Genomic DNA, 23,662 nt, shown 5'->3' with positions numbered 1-23,662 from the left:
TTGGCCCTGTTTATGGGTCTCGAAAAATTTATATGCTGGATCTTAGGGAGCAACAGAGGGCCGTGAAAGGCTTGAACTTTTTGCAAAGCAAGAACATCTGGCTCTGAGGAAGTGGCCCAGGCAGGAAAGGCTCTGCCTGTCTGGTCCTCCCTGGTTCCCACATCAATGTTGGACTGTTTTCCCCAGCTCAGGACCTTCCTGAGACTTCCTGTAAATAGGCCAGCCAGTCACAGCCAGGGAAACTGATCTCCCTCCCCACCCCAAAGACGTTGTGAGAAAACCCATTTTCAACCCACAGTAGCCATGAAATTGCAGTAAAAAACAGTTCTAAAGAAAAACAAAACAAAAAGCCCATAAAATCTTGTCGAACCGACCTTTCCTGAAAGGAAGCAAGTAGGAGAAACAGTGGGGTGTTTCTAAAACTTGAATCAAGTCCAGGCTTATTTTAAGGGAAAATATAATTCTTTCTGATCCCTGATGGTGTTTTAGGACACTTTCTTCTCCCATCAGCACTTCTCAGACCCCAGTCACAAAACAGTGACTTACAAAAAGACATATCCATCAGGGAGTGGTGGTTCAAGCCTGTAATCTCAACACTTTGGGAGGCAGAGGTGGGAGGATTGCTTGAGCCCTAGAGTTCAAGACCAGCCTGGGCAACATTGTGAGACTCTGTTTCAATAAATTAAATGAAATTAATAAAAAGATATTCAATGGAAACAGCTTTCGATTGTGAGTTGTTATTGTAGTTGGTATTTATAACTTACATGTTTTTGGAGTTCCAGAACATATCTGTGGCTCCCAGGGTTGAGAATTAACATTACAATGGAAAAGATGCAACTTAAATATGCCTGGTATTGAATCTCAGCACAAATACTTATCAGGTATATGATATTGAAGAACTTACTTAAATATTCTGTGCCTAATGAGGTTAATACAGGGCCTGGCACATAGCAGAAGCAAAACACGTGTTCCTAGTCTGTATTCACAAACGATGCAGAGTATGGGTTTTCTATTGTCCCTTGCTCTATAATCTAGAAAAACATTCATTGGCTGCCTCAGTTTGTAAGATATTTATTTCTTGGCTCTTTTTTTCCTTTTTTTTCTGGCTTTTATCATTACAAATTAGATTTCAGAAAAACATACTCAAACTTCTGTCTTAAGGAAAATTGGTGGTGCTACCATTTCCAGATCTCAGAGGAGCTTCACCTCTTGATTTATTTCCAGGCACTGTGGAAGTTAGGAACACATAGTTTAGCATCCCCTCCACACTCATAGAAATGTTGGATAAAATATAATAAGAAAGTAATTTTAAATACATTGTCAATTTTTAAAAAGAAAAGAAAAATCTCATTAATATACAAATAAAGAGTGTTTGCAAACCTAAAGCTAAAGCTGCAGAGGAATGGGATCTGGATAAAGTCCTCAGAAGAGCAGAGTTTTATGGCCTAAGCTGAGATAGAAGAGGTCTCATGGTTGTGTGAAGAGGGATAGGATAAATCACAGAGAGACCTGAATCAAGCCGGCAGGCCTCGGGGAACACACTTTCCATAATGCTGGAGCTGGAAAATTCTGCTTCCTGTCTAAAGAACCGGATATTTTAGGGGATTGCAGAGAGCAGAAAGAAGCACAAAGAGAAATTAAAAACCCAGGTCAATAACACATGCAGGAGTGCAATGTGAATTTATACTACCTTCGTGGTATGGGAGCCTATAACAGATAGAGAAAATAACACAACTGGTTTGGATCTTAGGGCCCAAGAAGTAAATGCAAAACTTAAAAAAAAGGATAGAGGACTGCTTTAATATCTCAGAGTTATGGGAGTTCTACAATAAGTAAACTCCACCAAAGTTAAACTCACAGTTAAAAAAATTATTAGCCATAGAAGAAAATGTACCATCAACAGGGAGAGACGACATATGCAACCAATAAGAAAATTTAAACCCCAACGTCAAGAAAAAATGCTAGAGCAACTGATATATAACTGTTTAAAAAATAATTTTTGACAAAATATCATCACATTGAAGTTGTTAAATATCATAGACAAAGGACTAATATCCAAAGTCCATGTTGATATATGTGTGTGTGTGTGTACTGAGTGTATGTGTGCATGTGTGTATATATGTGTGTTATTCTGATGTAGACTGGAGTAATATTGGAAGGAGATACACTTTATGGTTTGGGGTTAGAGTTTTATTAAGGCTGACAGACCAATCTTAGGAAGGAAACTTTTGCAGGAAACTCTGCATAGAGGTGGGGCCTCAGAAGATTTCCTTGGTTTTATTTAAGAGGAATTAGAAAAAATCCATACATCAGCTCAGGACAGCAGCAAAGGAATCTTGCCATCCACCTGAGACTTGCCTGAGACAAGTGAAACCCGGAGGCCCTAGTAGAATCAAAAGCAAAACTGCCTTTTGAGAACACAGTCAGAATCCAAGGGACACAAGCAACTCCTGCAGGAGGTTAGTTCCCAACCTAAATTCACAACCACAGAAGAAAACATGAGGTCAAATGAAAATGTGCTACAAGAGAATTAATGCCCCAAGGTCTGGCCATAAGAACAGTTTAATTTATACCATAACTATCTTTAGAACATTGAGAGTTGAAAAGGAAGATGAGGAAGCTGTAATGATTGCTGTCATGTGTACTAAAATACTTGTATGTTGGGAAAAGTGTAGAGATAATTCTAGACCAACTGAGATTTTAAGAAAAGCTTCAAAGGACAGAAATAGAATGGATAACTTCCAAACTCATGGAGGAGGGGAGAAGTAATAATAATAACAATAAATCTAGAATAACCCAATAGAGAAATGAAGAAGGGGAAAAAAGAAGCAAGGGGCAACTGTGGAAAAAAAACTGGTATAAGTAAGTCCAAATATATCAGTAATTACAAGTTCTTAAAGCTATATAATATCCTATTGTATGTATTTGTACATATAATACATATTAGGGACTTCTGAACTATGCCAACATTTTTGACACATGGTTGCAATCAATATCTTTGGGTCATTAATTGTCAGTGACTTCCCTTTGGCATCCTCCTTTGTCAATTCCACTCAACAAGCTTTTCCTTTTACTCACAGTACCGTATATTACTTAATAGTCATATCACCATACGCTATATAATTTACTACTTAACAAGTAGTGAATTTCTCCTCCTTGCCTCTCTACTATCTTCCCGTTCTTTATTATTTTTCTTGATCAAATTGTTACTTATTTGCATATTGATTTATAGAGCATTTTTATAATGAAAAGTATCATTTGATTGTTAAATGTATATCAGATTTTTTTTCTGAATTAGTCCCTTGGATTGTCATTTTTTAATGTAGTTATCTTTTGGTTTCTTTTTCAGTTTAGGACCAAATTTATTGATCTCATGGTTTCTGTTTTTTAAGTCATATTTTAAGAGGTCTTCCCACACATACACAAACACACACACTCACTCGTGCATAAATGTGCATATAGTGCCTATGCCTATGTAAGGGTGTATGTATATGTGTATATATAATGCATATAGACTTACATATATAATATCGCCTCTAATGTTGGTATGTTCAAATGTTTTCTCCTCATGGAATTTATGTTTGTGTAAGAGTTAAGATAGGAAATTGTCTTTTTTTCCTAAATATTTACCATAAATTTAAAAATACAACTCTCATCTACGGATATGCAGTGCCAGCTTTACCAAATGGTAAGTCCTTGTATATCTCTGAGTCTATTTCTGGGTTTTCTATTATGCTGTGCTATTCTGTATATCTATCATGTAATTCTACCCACTATTAAGTTACTGTAAATTTATAATATGTTTTAATATCTGAGCATTCAACTCAAAAACTTCTATGCCACTTTTATATGTATATTTTTCTACATGATCTTTAGCACCACCTTGGAGGGTTTAAAACACACACTACAAATATATAACACCCTTCATTCTTATTGATATAGCAGCTTTTATTTTTATTGATATTTATAGATAGATTTAGAGAAAAACTACTTCTTTGTAATTTTGATTTTTACTGTTTTAAAACAGGGTATGCTTCACTCTATATTTATCAAACTATATTTTTATACTCATGAATCAATCTTCTCCCCCTACCCTGGTGATATGGTTTGGTTGTGTCCCCATTCAAATATCAACTTGAATTGTATCTCCCGGAATTCCCACATGTTATGGGAGGCACCCAGGGGGAGGTAATTGAATCATGGGGGCTGGTCTTCCCTGTGCTATTCTCGTGATAGTGAGTAAGTCTCACAACATCTGATGGGTTTATCAGGGGTTTCTGCTTTTGCTTCTTCCTCATTTTCTCTTGCCTCTGCTATGTAAGAAAACCTTTCACCTCCCACCATGATTTTGAGACCTCCCCAGCCAAGTGGAACTGTAAGTCCAATTAAACCTCTTTTTCTTCTCAGTCTCAGGTATGTCTTTATCAGCAGCATGAAAATGGACTAATAACCTGGTAACCACCAATCTACTCTGTCTTCATGAGATACACTTTCTTAGCTCCCACATATAAGTGACAACATGCGCTATACATTTAATCTTCTTTTGTGTAAATTGGGTACATTTAAAGGATTTGGAAAGGTTTAAAAATGATGTAGATATTGCTTATTTCTTCTTCAGCATATTTCCAGATAATTTATACACTAAGTTGCTATTAAGAATGAGATTTTTCTTCCATTGTCTTTGCTACTGGATGTTATTAAGACATAAAAAAAACTTGATTTATATATGTTAATTTTAATTCAATCAAGTTCAAAAACCTTATTGAATTCACCGATTTTAATAAGGTTTAAGATTTGATGTTTTCTAGGTATTGCGTCATATTATTGGCAGTGATATTTCTTACTTTCTCTTGGGTTTTTCCTCCTTTTCTCTCTTGTCAGATATATCACTTACTATTTCCAAAACAACGTTACATAATAGTAATGATAATGAAATTCTTATTTGATTTTTGGTTATCATGGAAAGGCTTCCAATGTCTTCGGGTTGAGTTAAAGTATATATTTCATTATTTTAAAGTAGTTATATGTAAAGCATATATTTTGTCATATTAGTTTGCTTCTATTCCTATTTTACTTAGAGACATTTAAAAATATATATACATTTTTTAATGGAAAAAATGCCTTTCAGTATCTTTGGAGATCATGATATTAATAGATTTTTTAATATTGAGTCGTAGTAAAAATCTTTTTTTTTTTTAGGCGGAGTTTCACTCTTGTTGCCTGGGCTGGAGTGCAATGGCGCGATCTCAGCTCACCGCAACCTCTGCCTCCCAGGTTCAAGCAATTCTCCTGCCTCAGCCTCCCGGGTAGCAAGTAGCTGGGATTACAGGCAGGCTCCACCACACCCGGATAATTTTGTATTTTTAGCAGAGACGGGGTTTCTCTATGTTGGTCAGGCTGATCTTGAACTCCCGACCTCAGGTGATCTGCCCGCCTCGGCCTCCCAAAGTGCTGGGATTACAGGCGTGAGCCACTGCACCTGGCCATAAAATCTTTTTATGGCTTTCTCTTGGTCAGGTGCTATTCTCTTTGCTTATATTTTAAAATTTTAACTTAATATTGACAAATATTTCCCATGTGCTACTTTTTAAAAATTTGGGGATCAACATTGCACTGGTTTCAAAAAGAAGAACCAGAAATTGTCTTTTTTTGTCCATGTTCTACAACAGTTTATAAGGCTGTCTTTTTTCTGTTCTTTAAAAGTTTTATGTAAGTTTCTGAGCTAACTCTCTGGTTCTAATGCCTTAGGGGAGGCAAGTGGGTACCTTGTAACATTATTTCCTGTTTGGAAATTGGTCCTTTTGTGTCAGTTTCAATTTGTTACTTTTTCCTAGAAAATCATCTATTTTATGATTTTCAAATTTATTTTTTTGAGTTGAGCAAAGTTTTCATTCATAATTCCTTTTATTCTTCTGTGTCTGTGGCTATTTTCCCATTCTCATTTTTTACTTTTATATTTCCCCCTTTTCATAATTATATTTGCTAATAATTTTTTTACTATATGGATAATTATTTTTCAAAAAGATGACTCTTAGTTGTATTAGTTCTACCATTTTTCAGTTTTCTTATTTATTAATGTCTGTTTTTACTTTTTTAACTTATTTTCTCTTGTTTTTATTTTTCATCTTGTTTCAAATGTTTTTAGTTGTATGCATGATCTGTTAATTTTTAATCTTATTTGTTAATATAATTACTTAGGGCTTTTCTCTCAACACTGCTTACAGTGCAGCCACAGCTCTGATTTATTTTTATGCCATTTCTATCTTCTTTATATCTTTGTTATGAGTTCTTTATTTATTAGAGGTTTTTTCTTGCTTTTTTATTAGTATGCAGATATTTGAATTATTATCAGATTATATTTACAGTGCCATAAATCTTTAGAATTTACTGAGATCTCCTTGGTGGCCTAATATTTGTTTGATATGTGTTAATAGTCCTTGAAAATTTGAGAAGAAGGTACATTCTAAATTATAAAATGATATATATTATATGTAATTATATTTAATTTTAAAATCTAACATATTACTTAGGTCTTCTCTATCTTCATTCGTTCTTCACTTGACTTGTCAAAATTAAGAAGCAAAAGTCTTCTGCTCTTCATATGTTCAGTCTATTTATCTGTCTCTCTGCCTCCACCTCCCTATCTGTGTCTCTCTCTCTCTGTTTTACATATTTATATTTTAGATAATTTATATCTTAGATACTAATGAAATTTGGACGATCTGCATAAATTCTGCCCATTATTATTATAAAAAAAATCCTACTTGTTTTGTTCAGTCTTTTTACTCTGAATTCTACTTATCTAATATTAAATGTTATGACTACTAGTTTCTTTCCTCTTCAATTCTTGAAATGTTTTTTCCTTTTAAAAACAATTTTCCACTCTTTTTAGTCACTTTGTTTTAGATGTGTTCCTTATTTATGCTTTGTGAATTTGTACGATGACCTTTGTTATTATTCAGGAGGTTTGCCTTCTGCTTTTAGAAATGTTAGCAGTTACTTCTATTAATATAACTAGAACTTATTATAACATATTTAATTTTCTATGTCTATGAATAGTATCAACTAACTCTTAATATGAAGACACAAGAAATTAACATATTCCACAGCCTTTCAGTTCTTTCTTTCCTTTCTTCTCAGCATTGCCAATATAATACTTGATTATATGATTTCCATGGTTCTTGTAGTCTTTGCCTTTCTGACATTAAGAAGACAAACTTTAATTATCTGGTTTATCAGCTTTTAAATTAATAAATTAACTTGGCTATAAAGTGAAAAGTCAGTTTTATTTATACTACAAACTTCTTTAAATAATTTGTGTTTCTGTTGTGGGTATATATTCCAATGGTAGAACTACCTACACATCACATTCTTAACATTGGAAATCCAATAAGATTTTTATGTCTCTCTAAAAATAATTATAATTTTAAAAGCAAAGATTTTTTCCTATAGTCAACTGAGAGTTAGCTAGCAATTTTAAGAAGAAATTTAGATAGGACAAAGGCATATACAGCATAGAAAAGAATAAATCCAATGGCACAAGAGTAGTATAACTCAAGTTTGTTACCGAATATTTTAAGTACATAAATTTAAATCACATCACTATAGTACTATTTTGCATGTAATAATGTTGCAATAAAATATTGCAAGACAAAGATAATATTTGTGAAGTGAAATAAAAATGCTTTGTCTTAGCTTCACCTGCATGGTGCCTTATGTAAACACACTGCTGTTTGCTCACTAGAAAGAATTAGTTGAATATACATTCTCAGGACAGCTTGACATACAGTCAAGAGGTACAGACTGTACTACTTGTCTAACTATGCAAACTTTTCATTTTGAGTTAAGTAGAAGAGGCAGTTTCCAATGTGTTTGTCTTTTGCCTGAGAACCTCTTTACATCTCGTGTAACCCCAGGAGAAAATACCACTGGGGTTACTTAGAGGAATTCGGACTACTAGAATTGGATCTGAGTTTTATTTGCTGTGTCAGGAAAAGCCTACTTGTCTACAGGGTGACTGTTGCTATCTCAGAAGAAGTTCGGTCTTAGTTGTTTAGGAAGTCACATATGGGCAGTCTTCACATTGACTTTTTTATATGCCCTTAATCAGTTGCGTCTACCTTATACTGCCCCCTAGAGTACACAAAGTCCATTGACAAGCGTTATCTTCCACACATTTTGAGTGTGCCAATCACAAACTGCATCTTTAAGTCATTTCTCTATTGTTCATTCATACATGTATAACCGTAAATAAGATTTACAACTGACCTTTATTGTGAAGTACACATGCTATATCGTACTGCTTCTCTAACACTGCTCAAAAAGAATGTTAGATGTCAGTAGATAGACTCAACATACCTATCATCAGAGAGATAGACATAGTTGCATTAACTTTCATAGCATTGACAAACCTCAGCCTCCTTGCTTGAAATGTTACCAATACTAATGCTATTTACCCCAATCATAATCATCATCGTAAGACAGCAAGCCTCCCTCCTACACATTTGTAACTAAACTCAGTGCTTCCAACTCAGAGATGGTTTTCAATCAATATATCCATTGTGTGAAAGTAAATGCGACTTGGCCTTCAGCCAAGACTATGCCCAAGACATTAGTTCTGTGTTCCCTGAGTGAATTCAGCCTTTCTTATAGGATTCAGGTATTTAATCACTCCATGTCTACACAATATCACTGCGAGCCCTGGGAAGCATTACCACATTGCTGTTTTTATTTTGTCACTCACTCCCCTTACTGGTTTGTTTTTAGAGGTTTAACTGAGCCTTTAGCCTAAAGGCTATTTCCTTTACATGTGTTATACAGAAGTATGTAGGAATTTCGCCAAGAGGCAATATAATGAGTGTTGGAAATGGGACAGGTTTTGGGGTCAGATGGACCTGCATTTGAGATCTGGCACTGTCACTCACTTATTGAGCAACCTGGGAAAGTTTACTTAACGTCTGAAAATCTTATTTTTTCATCTGTAAGAATGCATACTACACTCCAAATTGCATAATTATTTTGAAAATTAGAAATAAAGCCATGTATCTAACAGATTTTTAAAAAGTAAATAGCTCAGGGGTATGTAATGTATTTAAAAGAAAGGATTCACAGGAAAATATGTGACTTCTTATCTCTACTATCAAAGAAAAGAAAAAAAAAGAAACATTACCCTAAGAAAATAAGATATCCTTGGGTTTTTTTAGTTCTAATGTTTAAATTAATATGTTTCACATAAAAAATCTTCTACCAGTTTTCGATTACAGATGACTTAATCTAACAACCACCATCCAGTAAGTGTGAGGACTGTGCTAAGTGCCATGAGAAACTCAGGACACACTGCAAGAGCCTGGCACTTACTGAGGCTCAGAAAACAATACCCCAAAGTCTGGCACTTTGGCATGCTGGGTACTTTGAACTAAAGGAGATTGGAAGGCCTGAAAAGCAGTCTCAGAAGCAGTATCTCTCTGACCTGTTCCTGCCTGCCTATCTCCCACCCCTCGTTTCCTCACAAAGCAAGCCATAGAGACTAGAATTCCTCTTTCTCAACCTAAAAAATACGTCTGTAACTTTCCCCTGCCTTTCTGTGTAAGATCTGGCCATCAAGACATTTTTTGACCTACCTTCCCTCATTCCAGGAAGGGTCCTGTCCTGTACCCGGGAGGAAGAAATGCTACACAGAGAAGCCAAGATGAATCTGAACAGACAGCCTTTGGTGAGTTTCTCCCCTCAGTTTATTACTATTAGATTATTCCCTTTTTGTCTGATCACATTTCTCCATGTCTGTCTATTCTTCCTGGAGCCTAACCATGAACAATAGACACTTTTCCCAAACTCTTTGGATATGTGTCTCTTCATTTGGCAATTTTGATTCATGTCATTCATAATAAAATTGTAGCTGTTAAGTGTAGCATTTTCCTATGTTGTCTCAGTCATTTTAGTTAGTTATCAACCTGATAAAGTCATGGGAACCTCTTAATTTGCAGCCAGTTGGAAAGACATGTGGGTGGTATGTGGGCCCTGAAGTGTGGCTGGTGTTTGCAGTAAGGACAGCCTTGTTGAGGGTCCATGACCTTTAACCTGTGGGTCTGGTGCTGACTCCAGGTGATTAATATTAGAATTGTATTACAGTATACCAGTTGGTATCAGAAGACTTGCTCAGAAAGTTCAAACTCAACTGGGGAGAAGATAATGATAAAACCAATACCAAAAATATAGAAATTATCTGGAATTGCACTAGGAGGTATTTGAGATACTCAGAAGATTTCCTGAAATAAAACACTGTATTAGTTTGCAGAGCTTCTAAAACAAAATACCACAGACTGGGTAGCTTAAACAACAGAAATTTATTTTTTCACAGTTCTGAAGACTGGAAGTGCAAGATTAGGATGTCAGCAGGTTTTGTTTCTTCCTGAAGCCTTTCTCCTTGGCCTCTAGATAGCCTCCTTCTTGCTGGGCCTCATGGACTTTTTTCTGTGTGTATGCACCCTATTTCTTCATTTTCTTATAAGGACACCATTTATATTGGATGAGGATCCAATCCTAAGAATCTCATTTTATCTTAATCACCTTTTTAAGGACCTTATCTTCAAATACAATTGCATTCTGAGATTCTGGGGGTTAGGAGTTCACATATAAATTCTGCCCAAAACATGTAGTATTTGGACTCATCTAATAAGGTGTCAGTCAAAAACATGGTAGTGGAGGAAACTGCTAAGGGAATGAGTATAAAGAGAATATAGATAAGAGCTAATAACAAAGTACTTGGGAATAGCACATAACAAAATTATAGAAAGTCAAAAGTTAGAAATCTAAAATACTTAAAGATCAAAGTGGAAAGAATGATGATAAATCATTCAACTATTATAATGCCACAAGTAGCTAATGCAATTAGTTTGCTGGTTACTCAACTAATAGGACTATATCACTGTGGCTACTGCAACAATTAATTAACTGGGGGAAGAGGAGAACCTGGAAGGCAATCTCCAAAACAAGTGGATGAGGACGGATAAAAGGAATAATGAATGTGGGCAGAAAAAGAAAAAAGAATAAATTACCAGCAGAATATCTGTGTCATGAAGCCTTTTATTAAAAACTAACCTCTGATCCATACTTGGAGGATAAGCTGATTTCCTCTTTGAGTATCTCTGATATCCTAGGCATGTAAAAAAAAAATGCAAAATCTTCCTCCCCTTCCTCCAAGACTGGGAAAAAAATCTCACTAATTTTGCCTGAACTCAACGACATTGCAAAGGAGGATAAAAATGAAATTTCTAATAGGTTAATCAGTTATATAAATTAATAGAAGTACTACTGACTTTTTAATATTTTAGTATAATATATATAGCAAACAATCTAGGAAGAAATGATTCTTTCATTTACTCCCTAGATGTTAGAAGACACTGAGGCATCAACAGGGTTTAATTCCATACTCTGTCATCGAATATAGCAATTGTAATTGCACCAATCAGCACTTTGTGTCAAGCTCAAGATTTGTAAATGCACCGATCAGCACTCTGTGTCTAGCTCAAGGTTTGTAAACGTAACTGTGTCTAGCTCAAGGTTTGTAAATGCACCAATCAGTGCTCTGTGTCTAGCTAATCTACTGGGGACTTGGAGAACTTTTGCGGCTAGGTAAAGGATTGTAAACGGACCAATCAGCTCTCTGTAAAACGGACCAATCAGCTCTCTGTAAAATGGACCAATCAGCTCTCTGTAAAATGGACCAATCAGCAGGATGTGGGTGGAGTCAGACAAGGGAATAAAAGCATACTGCCTGAGTCAGCAGGGGTGAGCAAGCAGAGGTGAGCCAGCAGGGGTAACCTGCTCGCATCCCCTTCCACGCTGTGGAAGCTTTGTTCTTCTGCTTTTTGCTATAAATCTTGCTGCAGCTCACTCTCTGGGTGGGGCTGCCTTTATGAGCTGTGAGTTGTAACACTCACCGCAGAGGTCTGCAGCTTCACTCCTGAGGCCAGTGAGACCATGAACCCACCGGAGGGAATGAGCAACTCCAGACACACTGCCTTTAAGAACTGTAACACTCGGTTTGAGAGTCCGTGGCTTCATTCTTGAAGTCAGCAAGACCAAGAACCCACAAATTCCAGACACATAATGACCATAGCAACTTAATCAGAACTCAGTGAGTAGTAGATTTGAACTTAAGAAAATGCAACAAAAACTAAAGTAGGTTTTACTAAAATATATGATTTAATAAACTCTAAATCTACAGATTTTGCTGAAGTTCTTATAATTGGGTCATAGCAGTAAATTCAATAAACGACTTCTAAAATGCTTTAATGGTGTTTGTGTCCTGGACATGATTTTCCCCAAGAAGAACTGTTGTATTCACCCTACCTTTAACTGTTTCTAGTCAGTTCCACAGATTCCATAAAAGTTAACTCCAGAGCAGAGAATGATGCCACAGTCGGGATAACATCCAATATTTGCAATCAGAAGAAATATGAGGTAACACCACCAAATAAATAATGTATTAACACTACAGAATTTCTTCACAACTAAAAAGAATGGACGTTGTTTATTGTACTCTACCAAAATACCTAGTGTTCTCTTTGAAAATAAGGAAAATAATCAAGACTCTCAGTTACTATTCAATTGTGTTGGTTAAGACTATTGCTAGAACACTACATATTCATTTCTATAGGTAAGAATATCATGATGAGGTAAAAACATCGAAGAGAGCCTGTATTCTAAGTTAGCTAGGAGATTAGACTTTTATTTTCTTCTTTGATAGATTATATAATTTTCCACAGCAGTGTACATAGAAACCCTAATATGTTACTACTTATAAAAATGAGACTTTTTGGCTGGATGCAGGCTCATGCCTGTAATCCCAACACTTTGGGAGGCCAAGGTGGGAGAATTTCTTGAGCCTAGGAGTTTGCCCAGCCTGGGAAACATAGGGATATTCTGTTTCTACAAAAGTAAAATACAAAATTAGCTAGGCATGGTGGTGCAAGCCTGTGGTTCCAGGTACTTGGGTGGCTGAGGTGGGAGGATCACTTGAGTCTGCAAGATTGAAGCTGCAGTGAACCATGATTGAGCCACTGCACTCCAGCCTCGGTGACAGTGAAATCCTGTCTCAAAAAAAAAAAAAAATTAATTAATTAATTAAATTAAAAAGAAAGATACTTTAGAAAAATGTCTCTAGTCCCTTCTATCTGGGGCATTTTATTCTTTGCCAAAAGCTGTAGCTCTTTGTATCGTTTTATATCCATAATCTGTCATCTGTCATGTACCGTGTTTATCCATGTACTTGATTTGTATTTATTCTCTCTTTTTTTTTTTTTTTTGAGACAGAGTCTTGCTCCATCACCCAGGCTGCAGTGCAGTGGCACGATCTTGGCTCACTGCAAGCTCCACCTCCCGGGTTCACGCCATTCTCCTGCCTCAGCCTCCCAAGTAGCTGGGACTACAGGCGCCCACCACCACGCCCAGCTAAATTTTTTTGTATTTTTAGTAGAGATGGGGTTTCACTGTGTTAGCCAGGATGGTCTCGATTTCCTGACCTCGTGATCTGCCTGCCTCGGCCTCCCAAAGTGCTGGGATTACAGGCGTGAGCCACTGTGCCCGGCCGTAATTATTCTTTTCGTGTTAAGCAATGGTAAAAGAACTGACTGAAAATAAGAATATTAAAAAGTTTCTCTGCTAAAAACAGAAAATTATGTTTGTTACCATTCCTACTATAACCCCAGTGATATGGCTCCGATGAGTGGAGGAACACCAGGGTTCTTGGTCTTCATGCCAGTTTAGATAAAACAACACAGACATACGTGGAGTGGTTTTAAGGAGCAGACAGTTTAATAGGCAAGAAGAAAAGAGAAGGCAGAAGGAAAAGGCTCCCCGATACAAAGACAGAGGGAGGGGGCCTCCAAAGCCAAAAGAGGAAATCCCAAGTGCAGTGGATACCAGCCAGGTATATGTAGAGGCTGGAGGAGGTGGTGTCTGATTTGCATAGGGCTCAGGGGATTGGTTTGACCAGGCCTGTAATTCACGGGGCCTGAAAAAGCTGGCCCTCCCACCCTAGCATTTAATATGCAAATGCAGGGCGCCACGATGTTCTACAAATGGTGGGTATATGTGGGAGCGGCCATGTTGCCAGGAACATGTGGGGCAAGGGCAAGAAGGCCACGGGAATCACCATGTTTGGGTAGACGCAGTTTCTAATGGCTTGCATTTGCCTATCAAAGGTTGCCAGCCGCTCTAAGAGCCAGGGCATTCCAATTCTGGAGCTGCTTTAAAAATGAAAACTTCCCAAGGATCCCTTTTCTTTTCTATCTGCCTAAAATAATTTCTTAATAACTCCTACAACACAATGATTTTCAGTGAAACAAAAGCTGCTGTTTTATTTTTGTTAAATTGTTTTTCTTAGCTAAAGAGATAAAAGTGAGGATGAGGGATTCAAAATGTGGTTTACTTTATAGAGCTTGCAAAACTCACAGCATTTAAAGCAGTTTTTAACAGGAGTATGGGGATAGGGCTTGAATGAACTTGGAAATGCCATTCAATTGCTAAAATCATATGCATCACATTGTGTTCGTCTGCACATACGTGCACTTTTCTGGTAAGAAGTTTCAAACTTACAACAAATTTTCAAAAGAGGTCTATACTTTTGAAAGTATAAGAAATCACTTAGTTTACTGACTTTCCTTATTTCAGGCCACATCCAAAAGTACAAAACAGCACATTTACATTTTGTATTTCACATTTTTTTCAATACTTACCTTGGGAGCCATAGGCCCTGCTAAAGTTTTGCTGAAAAATCATGGACATGATGCAGATTAATTAAGAGGAGAAAAGGCATATAGATTTATTTAACATGTATACACAGGAGCATTCAAAATGAAGACCCAGCTTCTCCATGAGTTACAGAAACTTATATACCATCTTGAGTTTGCAGAACGAATGGGGGCTTGCATCCTGGTAAGACAGGATATAGGAAGAAGGAGAAGAGAAATTCTATTGAGGGGCAATAAATGACTGTGAAGGAGAATGATTGGATCAGGGAACAGAGATTAACTTTGTAAATAGTTTTCTTTGAAATTTAAATGATCCTTGGAGACAATCATTGTTCTTATTAAAAGGTCTGTTCAGGTATTGGTCACATCTTGGCCTTCTTTTCTGCAATAGATAATGAGATAACAGAGATGGGAAGAAAACACAATAGTTCTCATTGGTAGGTCTGGATCCTAAGCAGATAAAGGAACTTCAGTTTATTTGGGAGAGACAGTGGTGGTGAGAGGCCAAAGAGATCTTCAGGCTTCTTCAGCTCAGCATGTCAAAATGCCATATTTTGGTATATGAATTTCTGAGCCCCAACATTCTCCCATCTGAAACTTCCCTAGGAGTTTCACAAACTAAAAGCTGAGTTAGTGGCTGTGGAAGAGAAAAGTTAAGCTAAAATATGAATGGCAAATAATTCTATTTAACCAATCTGTGAATAGGTCAATTAAACACCTCTTTCATTTTAGGAGATAGCATTGCAGATGGGCTTTCAAACAGAAGAAAAACAGGTTAATTTTGGAAACAGTCTATAAACCAGTTTCCTTACAGTCTGCAGGGCAGTCAGTTGAGGTGTCCAGATGTTAGACTCAAAGCCCAGTTAAAGAGGAAGCCAGCAATGGCAATCTGACAAGATTTTTTTTGCCTGTTTCAAAAAGTTTAAGCTTTAGCTTATAGGGCCTCAGGAAAAAGGTAGTAGCAATTCCATTGAGTCCAAGTAAGAAAAATCCTTTTGAATTTTTTATTACCAGATTTTAGTGAGGATAAACAGCTGATATTTCTGGCTTTTAAACATTTTTTTTTTTAACCAATGACATCCTCCCAAGTACCATAATCGAGGTTATAACTTAAGCATAAGGTGTCTTCAAAGAGGTGGCAAACACTTTTTACAAGATATAAAATTACCCCAAAGATAGCTCAAAGAAAGGAAAATTTTGGTAGCCATAAATGGAGTGTGACTCACATTTCTGTTTGGCCAGTCTCTGGAGTCTCAGCTGCTCAGCTCATTTTCTACATACAGAAGCCAAAATGCCTCATATGCCCCCACAGATGAAAGACAGGAAATCAAAATCTGTCCATGGAAGGGAAAATAATCAATAAATTTTGGGAAGGTAACACAAACGTCAATCCAGAAAGCACTAAGTCCCTTGCCAGAAGTTTAATCCAGGCTGCTGTGGTAAAAGGGCAGACCTTGGCTACTAGGTTACAACATGAGGTGGTCTTTATTGTTCTTCCCAGAAGAAATCCAGAGCAGACAGTTTCAATTTGCAAAGGATTTTAACTTTGTTTTAGGTCAGATTTTTTTTTCTCTTTTAATTTAGTCAGAGAATTCTCAAGGCTAACTGTGACACCATTATGTGTCCTTTTAAAATGTATTTTCCCATTAATTCTTTCCAATTAAAAAAAATCTCTAAAATCTTTTAAAATTTATCTTTTGGCCACTGACAATTAGAATTTTCAATGACATACTTAATTCCAATAGTGACTTTATCCAAAAGCCTCTTCATGTAAAGCCCAGGTGGTAATTTTCCAGGTTTTTACCATGTAAGCAACAGTTGTTCCCGGAGAGGGTGTAGAGGAGGCGATCCCCATGATCTCCACAAATTCATTCTCGGAAATAGACTCAACATAGCAAAGATGACAAAAACCCCATAGGGTTGGGACTTTTTAAGACAAAACTCACCTAAAAGCTTCATACATTCAGAATGAAGAGTGTGCTGCTTAAAATATTACATGCCTCGGTTTGCAATCTTTCAGACTGGCTGCCTAATGTGAACCTGAAAAATCACACCCTTTGGATGATGGAGACTAAGAGAGGACCCCCACTTAGTCAGTCATGCTCTCAAGGACATAAGACAGGATAAAAGGAAAACCTCATCTGTATTACAGGGACCCATAGCAAAGTTTGTTTTAATAGACACCCATCTAGCCAGAACCACCAAACCAGCCAATCTTCAGGGCTGGCTGAAACAATGGGCTTATAGGGGTTCTAGGCCTATGTTCTACACTATGGTACCCATCTTCACGACAGAACAACACAGAAAGACAAAGACAAAGGAAAATGGCAACAACAACAACAACAACAAATCACCTATTTCTGAGAGGAAAGGGGGGGTCGAAGAATGTGAATATTCATACCTCACAGTACTGAAAGTACACTGGAGTCACTATAACCCAAGACTCATCACACAAATCCTTTTTTCTCATTAATAAAATCATTGCAGATGAGACAAACAATGATTTTTTCCCATCCACTCAACTGGAATGCAAAGAGAGAGAGAGGTCAGGAGACTGGCTGGTAAGAAATTCTTATCCCTTTGCTGGCAGGTCAGGTTCCTGGGTTCTCTTTACTGCAGCTTATAGAAGAGAAGAGCAGCTTTGATTACCCTGCTCACTGCACTATACTGTGGTGGCCATAGGCTCTTGGTCCCTTGAAGTTTCACTGAAAAAAAAATCACTGACATGAAGCAGATAAATTAATAGGGGAAAAGGCATGTAAATCTATTTAGCATGTATACACAGGAGCCTTCAGAATGAAGACCCAACTTCTTCATGAGTTACAGAAACTTGAGGTTACAAAAGAATGGGGGCTCGCATCCTGGTAAAACAGGTTATGGGAACGGTGGAGGGGGAAGAGGAATTTTACTGATGGGCAATAAATGATTGCAAGGGAGAATGACTGGATTGGGGAACAGAGATTAACTGATCTGTAGAGACAGTAATTATCCTCATAAAAAGGTCTGTGCAGGTATGGTCACAGCTTCTTTTCTGCAGTAGATAATGAGATAATGGGGAGGGAAAGAAAAAGACAAATTATTCTCCTTGGTGGGTCTGGATTTTAGGCAGATAAAGGAACTTCAGCTTCTTTGGGTGAGATCATGTGGAGATTAGGTCAGAGAGACCTTGAAGCTTCTTCAGCTTAGCATGTCAAAACATCATATTTTGGGGTAACAATTTCTGAGCCCAACATTATTATGTCAACCCCTCCAGGAAACTGCAATTGAGCAGAATAGATAGTAATGATACTAAGGTTATAAGGGTGTTAAAAGATAACATTTTTTAAGGGTAAAAGCATTCTTCTCAAAAAATATAAAACACATGAAGATTCTATTAAATTCATTAATTAATAATGGAATCAAATGTTAGAACCAGTTCAGAGTAGTTCTTTTTAATGACACAAATGTAGGGAATAAGGAATGCTAAAACAAAATTTTAAATAAAGACAGAAGTGATCTATCTACAGGACAATAACCAACTGCATTCCACAAGGACCCAATTTGTTTGTATTTCAACTGAAAAGAATCATTCACATTATTATGAGTTTTAAATCCTTCAAAAACAATGACAAGCACAGAGATTGCAGATGGGTACACTATAAAGGCTGCCAGCGATCTCCCCCTCCCTCATTTCGAATCTGTCACAATTTTTCTGACATGCATTTGCAGAGAAATTGTGATGAAGTTTTTTTCTGTCACACAAAAGGCAAGCATCCAATTTGACTGAGGGAGTCAAAGGTAGTCCCCACAGAAGTGGTATTTAAATGAATGTTGAATGAATGTGCATTAAGTAAAGAATATCTATGGGGACTTAACATTTGAAAGGTTCTGGGGCATCTGAAAAAACAGAGCAAAGCTGTTGGATGACAATGGAATGCTAATTTAGAGTCGTGTTTGGAAGAACTGAGGTCCCAGTGGTGGAATTTGAGTTTATGATTTCCCAAAGTACGCCTCCTAGAGGAGGAAGTATACATCAGTGCTTGATGGCTTTGAGAGAGTCTTGAGAGTGTAGCCTGCAGCTTCTCAATGAAAAATGTCAAATTTATCTGCAATCATGTTTTATCTTAAAATTTCGCTTGGTTTTTAATATAACAATCTATGAGATTACAACTTATTGAGTAAAATTTATTGTGCTTAGTACATGAGAGGAAAGAAGTATATATTGGTTTTGAATTTTGGCTGAACTGACATTCCACAAAGTCATCCCAGGCTCTTAGCCAGACTCTCTGGGTACACTCACTTTGTCTCCGGAGATATGCAAGCTCCTCAAATTAAGGTGCAAAACATGCATTGACTACAGGTTACTAAAAGCTTTTATTGGTCAGTGAAGTCACACGGTTAGTTTTATTATGTTTGGGGAAAATTACTGCCAATTCCATGAAAGAAGATTTGACCCAGCACCAGTGGGAAGCAGTGATCAGAAAATGGGCTGCCGAAACAGGCTTGGACTGAGGGTGTGAATGGGAAGAAAAACGCTATCTTACAGAGGTAATTAAAATGTTCTGACCAATTATCTACAGGCGAGAAAAGAGAAGGGTCAGGTATAACATTTCTGGTTGTATTCCTGCAGACAGTTTGCTGGTAGAACTGGAGTTAGCAACTATGCCACTGATAGAAACAGGAGACAGCCAAGGGTCCCCGGAGAAACCCTGCCTTCAAGCCTAAAACGCCCTGCAGGCTGAAAAACCAGCTGCTGGTCCTGGATGAAACCCACAACCCAGAGGGAGAACTGCCCCTGTTTGCCCGCCCTTTCCCAGCCGATTCTTTCAGAATAAGGCCCACATGCGCACCGGGGAAACGGGGTCGAGCCACAGAAAGTTGCGCCTTGTTCAATGGGGAGGAGTCTGGTCTCTTCAGTTTTCCTGTGCGTGGCCTGGAATCAATCTGTGAGGTGGGGGCCTATTGGCAGGATCCCCTCTCGCTTTCTTGAGAGTTTTTTTCTTTTTTTCCTTTTTGCCCAGTAAATTCTGTTCCCCACACCCTTCAATGTGTCCACGTGCCTAAATTTTCCAGTTCTTGATATAAGAACCTGGATTTAGCTGAACTAAGGAGCAAAAATTCTCCTTAGAATTTTTGGAAGGTTGGTGTAAAGTTAACAGTTGCAGCCACCTGACGGTTTCTAAATCCCAGGTTTCTTGTATTACCCATTGCTCTTTTTCTCTAGCCTTTTAAAGCAGACCTGTAAGAGACCAGGCCAGCTTTAGCATTTCTTTTGTCTTTTAATCTGTAAGTTTTGTGCTTGAGCAGGAAGCAGACAGGTTACCTTTTTAAGACACTAAAGGAGATGAGATGAAATTATTTGTATGATCAAAATGCATATTTAGAATGTGCATCTGTAAGTTTTCCATGATTAAGTTCTTGGGAAAAAATTTTCATTTTCCTACTTGGGATTAAAGAAAATTCATCATAATAGCGTAGTTAGAAGAGTGAATGTGAGGATGCAAAGCCAAGCAATATTTAAATTTACCAATCTAAGAAGAAATCTTTAATCTGGCATTATGGCCAATGAATCTCATGTAAAATTTTCTTCCAGATGCCCACACAGCTTAACTTTTAGAAACACAACACAGGATATTTCAGAGATAAGCTGTGATGAGTTCAGGACACGCTACCCCCAAAATATGACACAGTGGCATATGTAATATTTTAGGTGGAAGGAATTTGAGAAATATCATGAGTGGGAAGTGTCTTCTGACCTTCCCATGAAGCAGATCATAACAACCTCATGTGAAAGGTGCCCTCCCTATACCCAGATGAAAGGAGCAGCCTTCTCTCTGAAGACACAGGGACACAGACAAGAACTGAATGAAGGGATTTTGCTCAGTTTTCCCCAGTTTACTCATACCCTTTATGCTATCACATTTTCCCATAACTTTCCACTTTTCATTAAACCTAGAATAAAAACTCTCAGGTTAAACTGTTTCTTTGCGTCTTCATTTCCTTATGAAAACTCCCATGTCACATAAAACTTAAATAAATGTGCATGCTTTTCTCTTGTTAATCTCTTTTGTTACAGGAGTACCAGCCAATGCACGTTAAGATGAGTAGAAGGAAAAGATGTTTTTCCTCCTCTATAGCTACATAGTCACAAACAAGGCTGTACCTGTATAAGGTTTCTTTGGATAGCAGTGAGTAAAACCTACGCGGAGAGGTTCTATGCCGAAGGAATTTTGCTTACTGGAGGACCAGAAACACACGCGCGCGCGCGCGCACACACACACACACACACACACGGGCAGGGGACAAGGGCGTGGCAAAGGGCTCAGAGTGATTAGGGAACATGAGCCTTATGGAAACCAAAGGATCCTGGAAAGCAGTAATAGTCATTGCTGACATTCATTAATAGCTTATTATGAGTGTGTGTGTGCAACACACACACACACACAGAGAAAGAGAGAGAGATTGATTCTGCTTTTTCTGGAACTAGAGCTAGAAATGTGGTTTAGGAGGGTTAGGATACAAATCCTATTCCTTTGGGATTGCATCCTTCAAAGGGTGTATGAGGAGAATTATCATTTCTTTAATAGTGCTTGGCCCTAAACTTTCCCACAAGTCTGGTCATGGAAAGCTTTCCCAAGGAGTTCTGCTTTGAGTATTTATATCCGTCTGACTTCTAGGAAAAAGCCAAGAAATAGACAGAGAGACAAAGAATACCCTAAAGACACTTAGAGATGTACCAGATTGTAATGTTGCAAATTTCTTAGGACAATATCATATATCAGAAGAGAGTGGGTTTACTTGGATAGGAGTCAGAAATTTGGGGAAATAATGGCTGTGTTAGCAAATGCGCCTTCACCCTACCAAGAAGGCTTGTTTTTCTTAGCACACAGTGGATTTAAAGTTACAGCCTGAGTGGATATTCCCAGCTCAGTTGATTTCTCATGAGCCACATATATTCACATGCCCCAGACAAGATTATTTCCAGTTTTCAGCACTCGTAGTTCTGGGAAGGGAGAGCTAAATTATGTGAGAGCACTCTCAGTGGGGGGACACATAGAGAGAGTTGTTCTAGCAGCAATAAAACTAGGGCAATAAGGGGAATTGAAGGTTAGGCAAGTCTGAGGCCTCAGACATGGTGTTCAATCAATTATAACAGAAGGACCTGCATTGATTCCAGCTGAAATCTTAAGTAGGTAGCAGCTAGATTAGCCTCAACAGAGAAAACAATTATTTTGGGGGCTACCTGTGGAGATGAACTCCCTAAAAAGCTCTAATTTTTAGAAAATATTTCTTATCGTTTCAACAAACATTATGAAGTATATTCTGGACACTGGGAATAGAAAAGTGAGTACGAAGACCCTTTCCTCAAAGGTTTTCTAGTCTTTTCACAAATTTCTTATGGGTTTGACAACAGAAATGATACTTGAGAATATTTATACCTATAATTAATAAATTAATTTTTGCCATGAAGAAGGAAGACAAAAGAACATCCAAAAATTCATAAAATACTCTCAACAAAGTAAAAGTTTATTCCACATTGAATCAAAGTATTAATTTCATTTTCTGCAGATTTTTCAAATTGGCACTTGCCGTTAATAAGAAACTTTTACTTTGTTTCCATGATTTATATAAGGTAATTTATATCATTCAACTTGCTGTAAAAGTTGAGACTGTTGGAATTTCTTCAGTAGTTCCACTTCCAACCTTGTGCAGGAACTATTTCTAACTTCCTATTTTCAGTCTCCCCATCTGCAAAATGGATTTAATGACACATTCACCCAATAGATTTTTAAATAAGTATTTAAAAAGCAAATATAGGGCTGGGTGCGGGGGCTCATGCCTATAATCCCAGCACTTTGGGAGGCTCAGGCGGGCAGATCATTTGAAGCCAGGAGTTTGAGAACAGCCCAGGCAACGTGGCGAAACCTATCTCTACTAAAAATATGAAAATTAGCCTGGCGTGGTGACACATGCCTGTAATCCCAGCTACTCAGGAGCCTGAGGTGGGAGAATCCCTTGAACCCGAGACGAGGAGGTTGCTGAGATTGTGCCACTGTACTCCAGCCTGGATGACAGAGTGAGACTGTATCTAAAAAAATTAGAATTAAAATTAAAAAGTAAATATATATATAAAGCACAAAAAAGAGTAACTTACTCATAGTAAGCTATTAATGAATGTCAGCAACGACTATTACTACTTTCCAGGGTCCTTTGGTTTCCATAAGGCTCATGTTCCCTAATCACTCTGAGTCCTTTGCCACGCCCTTGTCCCCTGCCCGTAGTGTGAAGTGCTATTCCCTATTTAGAGAGCAATAGCCACTGCTTTATGTTCTTCACCTGGGAAGGGCTGATCCAGCAACGATCCCCAACAGAGGGATTGGATCTTTTTCTTCTTCTTTCTCACAAAGACCAATGGGAGGCGGAGACCTAGGTAAGTGGGTCTGCTCTGTGTACTGGAATTTTCACTCAGGTGGGCAGTTCCAAGGTCTATATGGGAGGGGAGGGGAGGAACAAGCATATTTTCACTTTCATTCTCACTCTGGGCTAGGTCTCTTTTATACTTGATTTTGGTGCTCCATGTTCTCATGCTGTTGTCATATTTCTCACATTAAACAGAACCTGGGAGCAGGAAGCAGCCAAGGGAAGAGGTGATTTTTATTCAACCCTTCAAAATGCCAATGTTGTTAATAATATTGTAGCACTACTAATAATGCAGGTGAGCAAAGAATTAAGCTTTCCTATTTGTCAATATAATATTTGATCATATTATATATGAGGCAGACCAGCTTTTGTTTCCATAGGAAGCTTCCTCTAGCTGTATCCTGTGTCCTAGTTCCTGCAAGGTCTCTGCTGGTTGGCTATTAAATGGACTTACTTAAGGTTTAGTAGAAGCCATGACAAGTCTCTCTCTCTCTCTCTCTCTCTCTCTC

The 23,662-nt window shown here is 37.6% G+C and overlaps 1 long non-coding RNA gene across 1 annotated transcript, besides 1 other annotated feature; it reads left to right on the top strand.

The window, feature by feature from the left end:
- The first annotated feature begins 4,293 nt into the window (after positions 1–4,293).
- On the top strand, positions 4,294–13,676 carry LOC107986951 (uncharacterized). The gene is made up of 4 exons (XR_001745953.2): positions 4,294–4,375; positions 9,636–9,712; positions 12,368–12,462; positions 13,315–13,676. It is a non-coding gene; the product is annotated as an uncharacterized LOC107986951 (long non-coding RNA).
- Positions 18,146–18,897: an enhancer, noted in NCBI's record as "OCT4-NANOG hESC enhancer chr8:69755751-69756502 (GRCh37/hg19 assembly coordinates)". NCBI's record gives its function as "activates a minimal SCP1, AML or CMV promoter by ChIP-STARR-seq in primed H9 embryonic stem cells {active_cell/tissue: H9 hESC(primed)}" and the evidence as "EXISTENCE:reporter gene assay evidence [ECO:0000049][PMID:30033119]".

This window comes from Homo sapiens, chromosome 8 (genome assembly GCF_000001405.40).
Source record: "Homo sapiens chromosome 8, GRCh38.p14 Primary Assembly".
NCBI classification, from domain to species: Eukaryota; Metazoa; Chordata; class Mammalia; order Primates; family Hominidae; genus Homo; species Homo sapiens.
The sequence above is the reverse complement of the archived record's forward strand: the minus strand, read 5'-3'. Positions and strand labels throughout refer to the sequence as shown.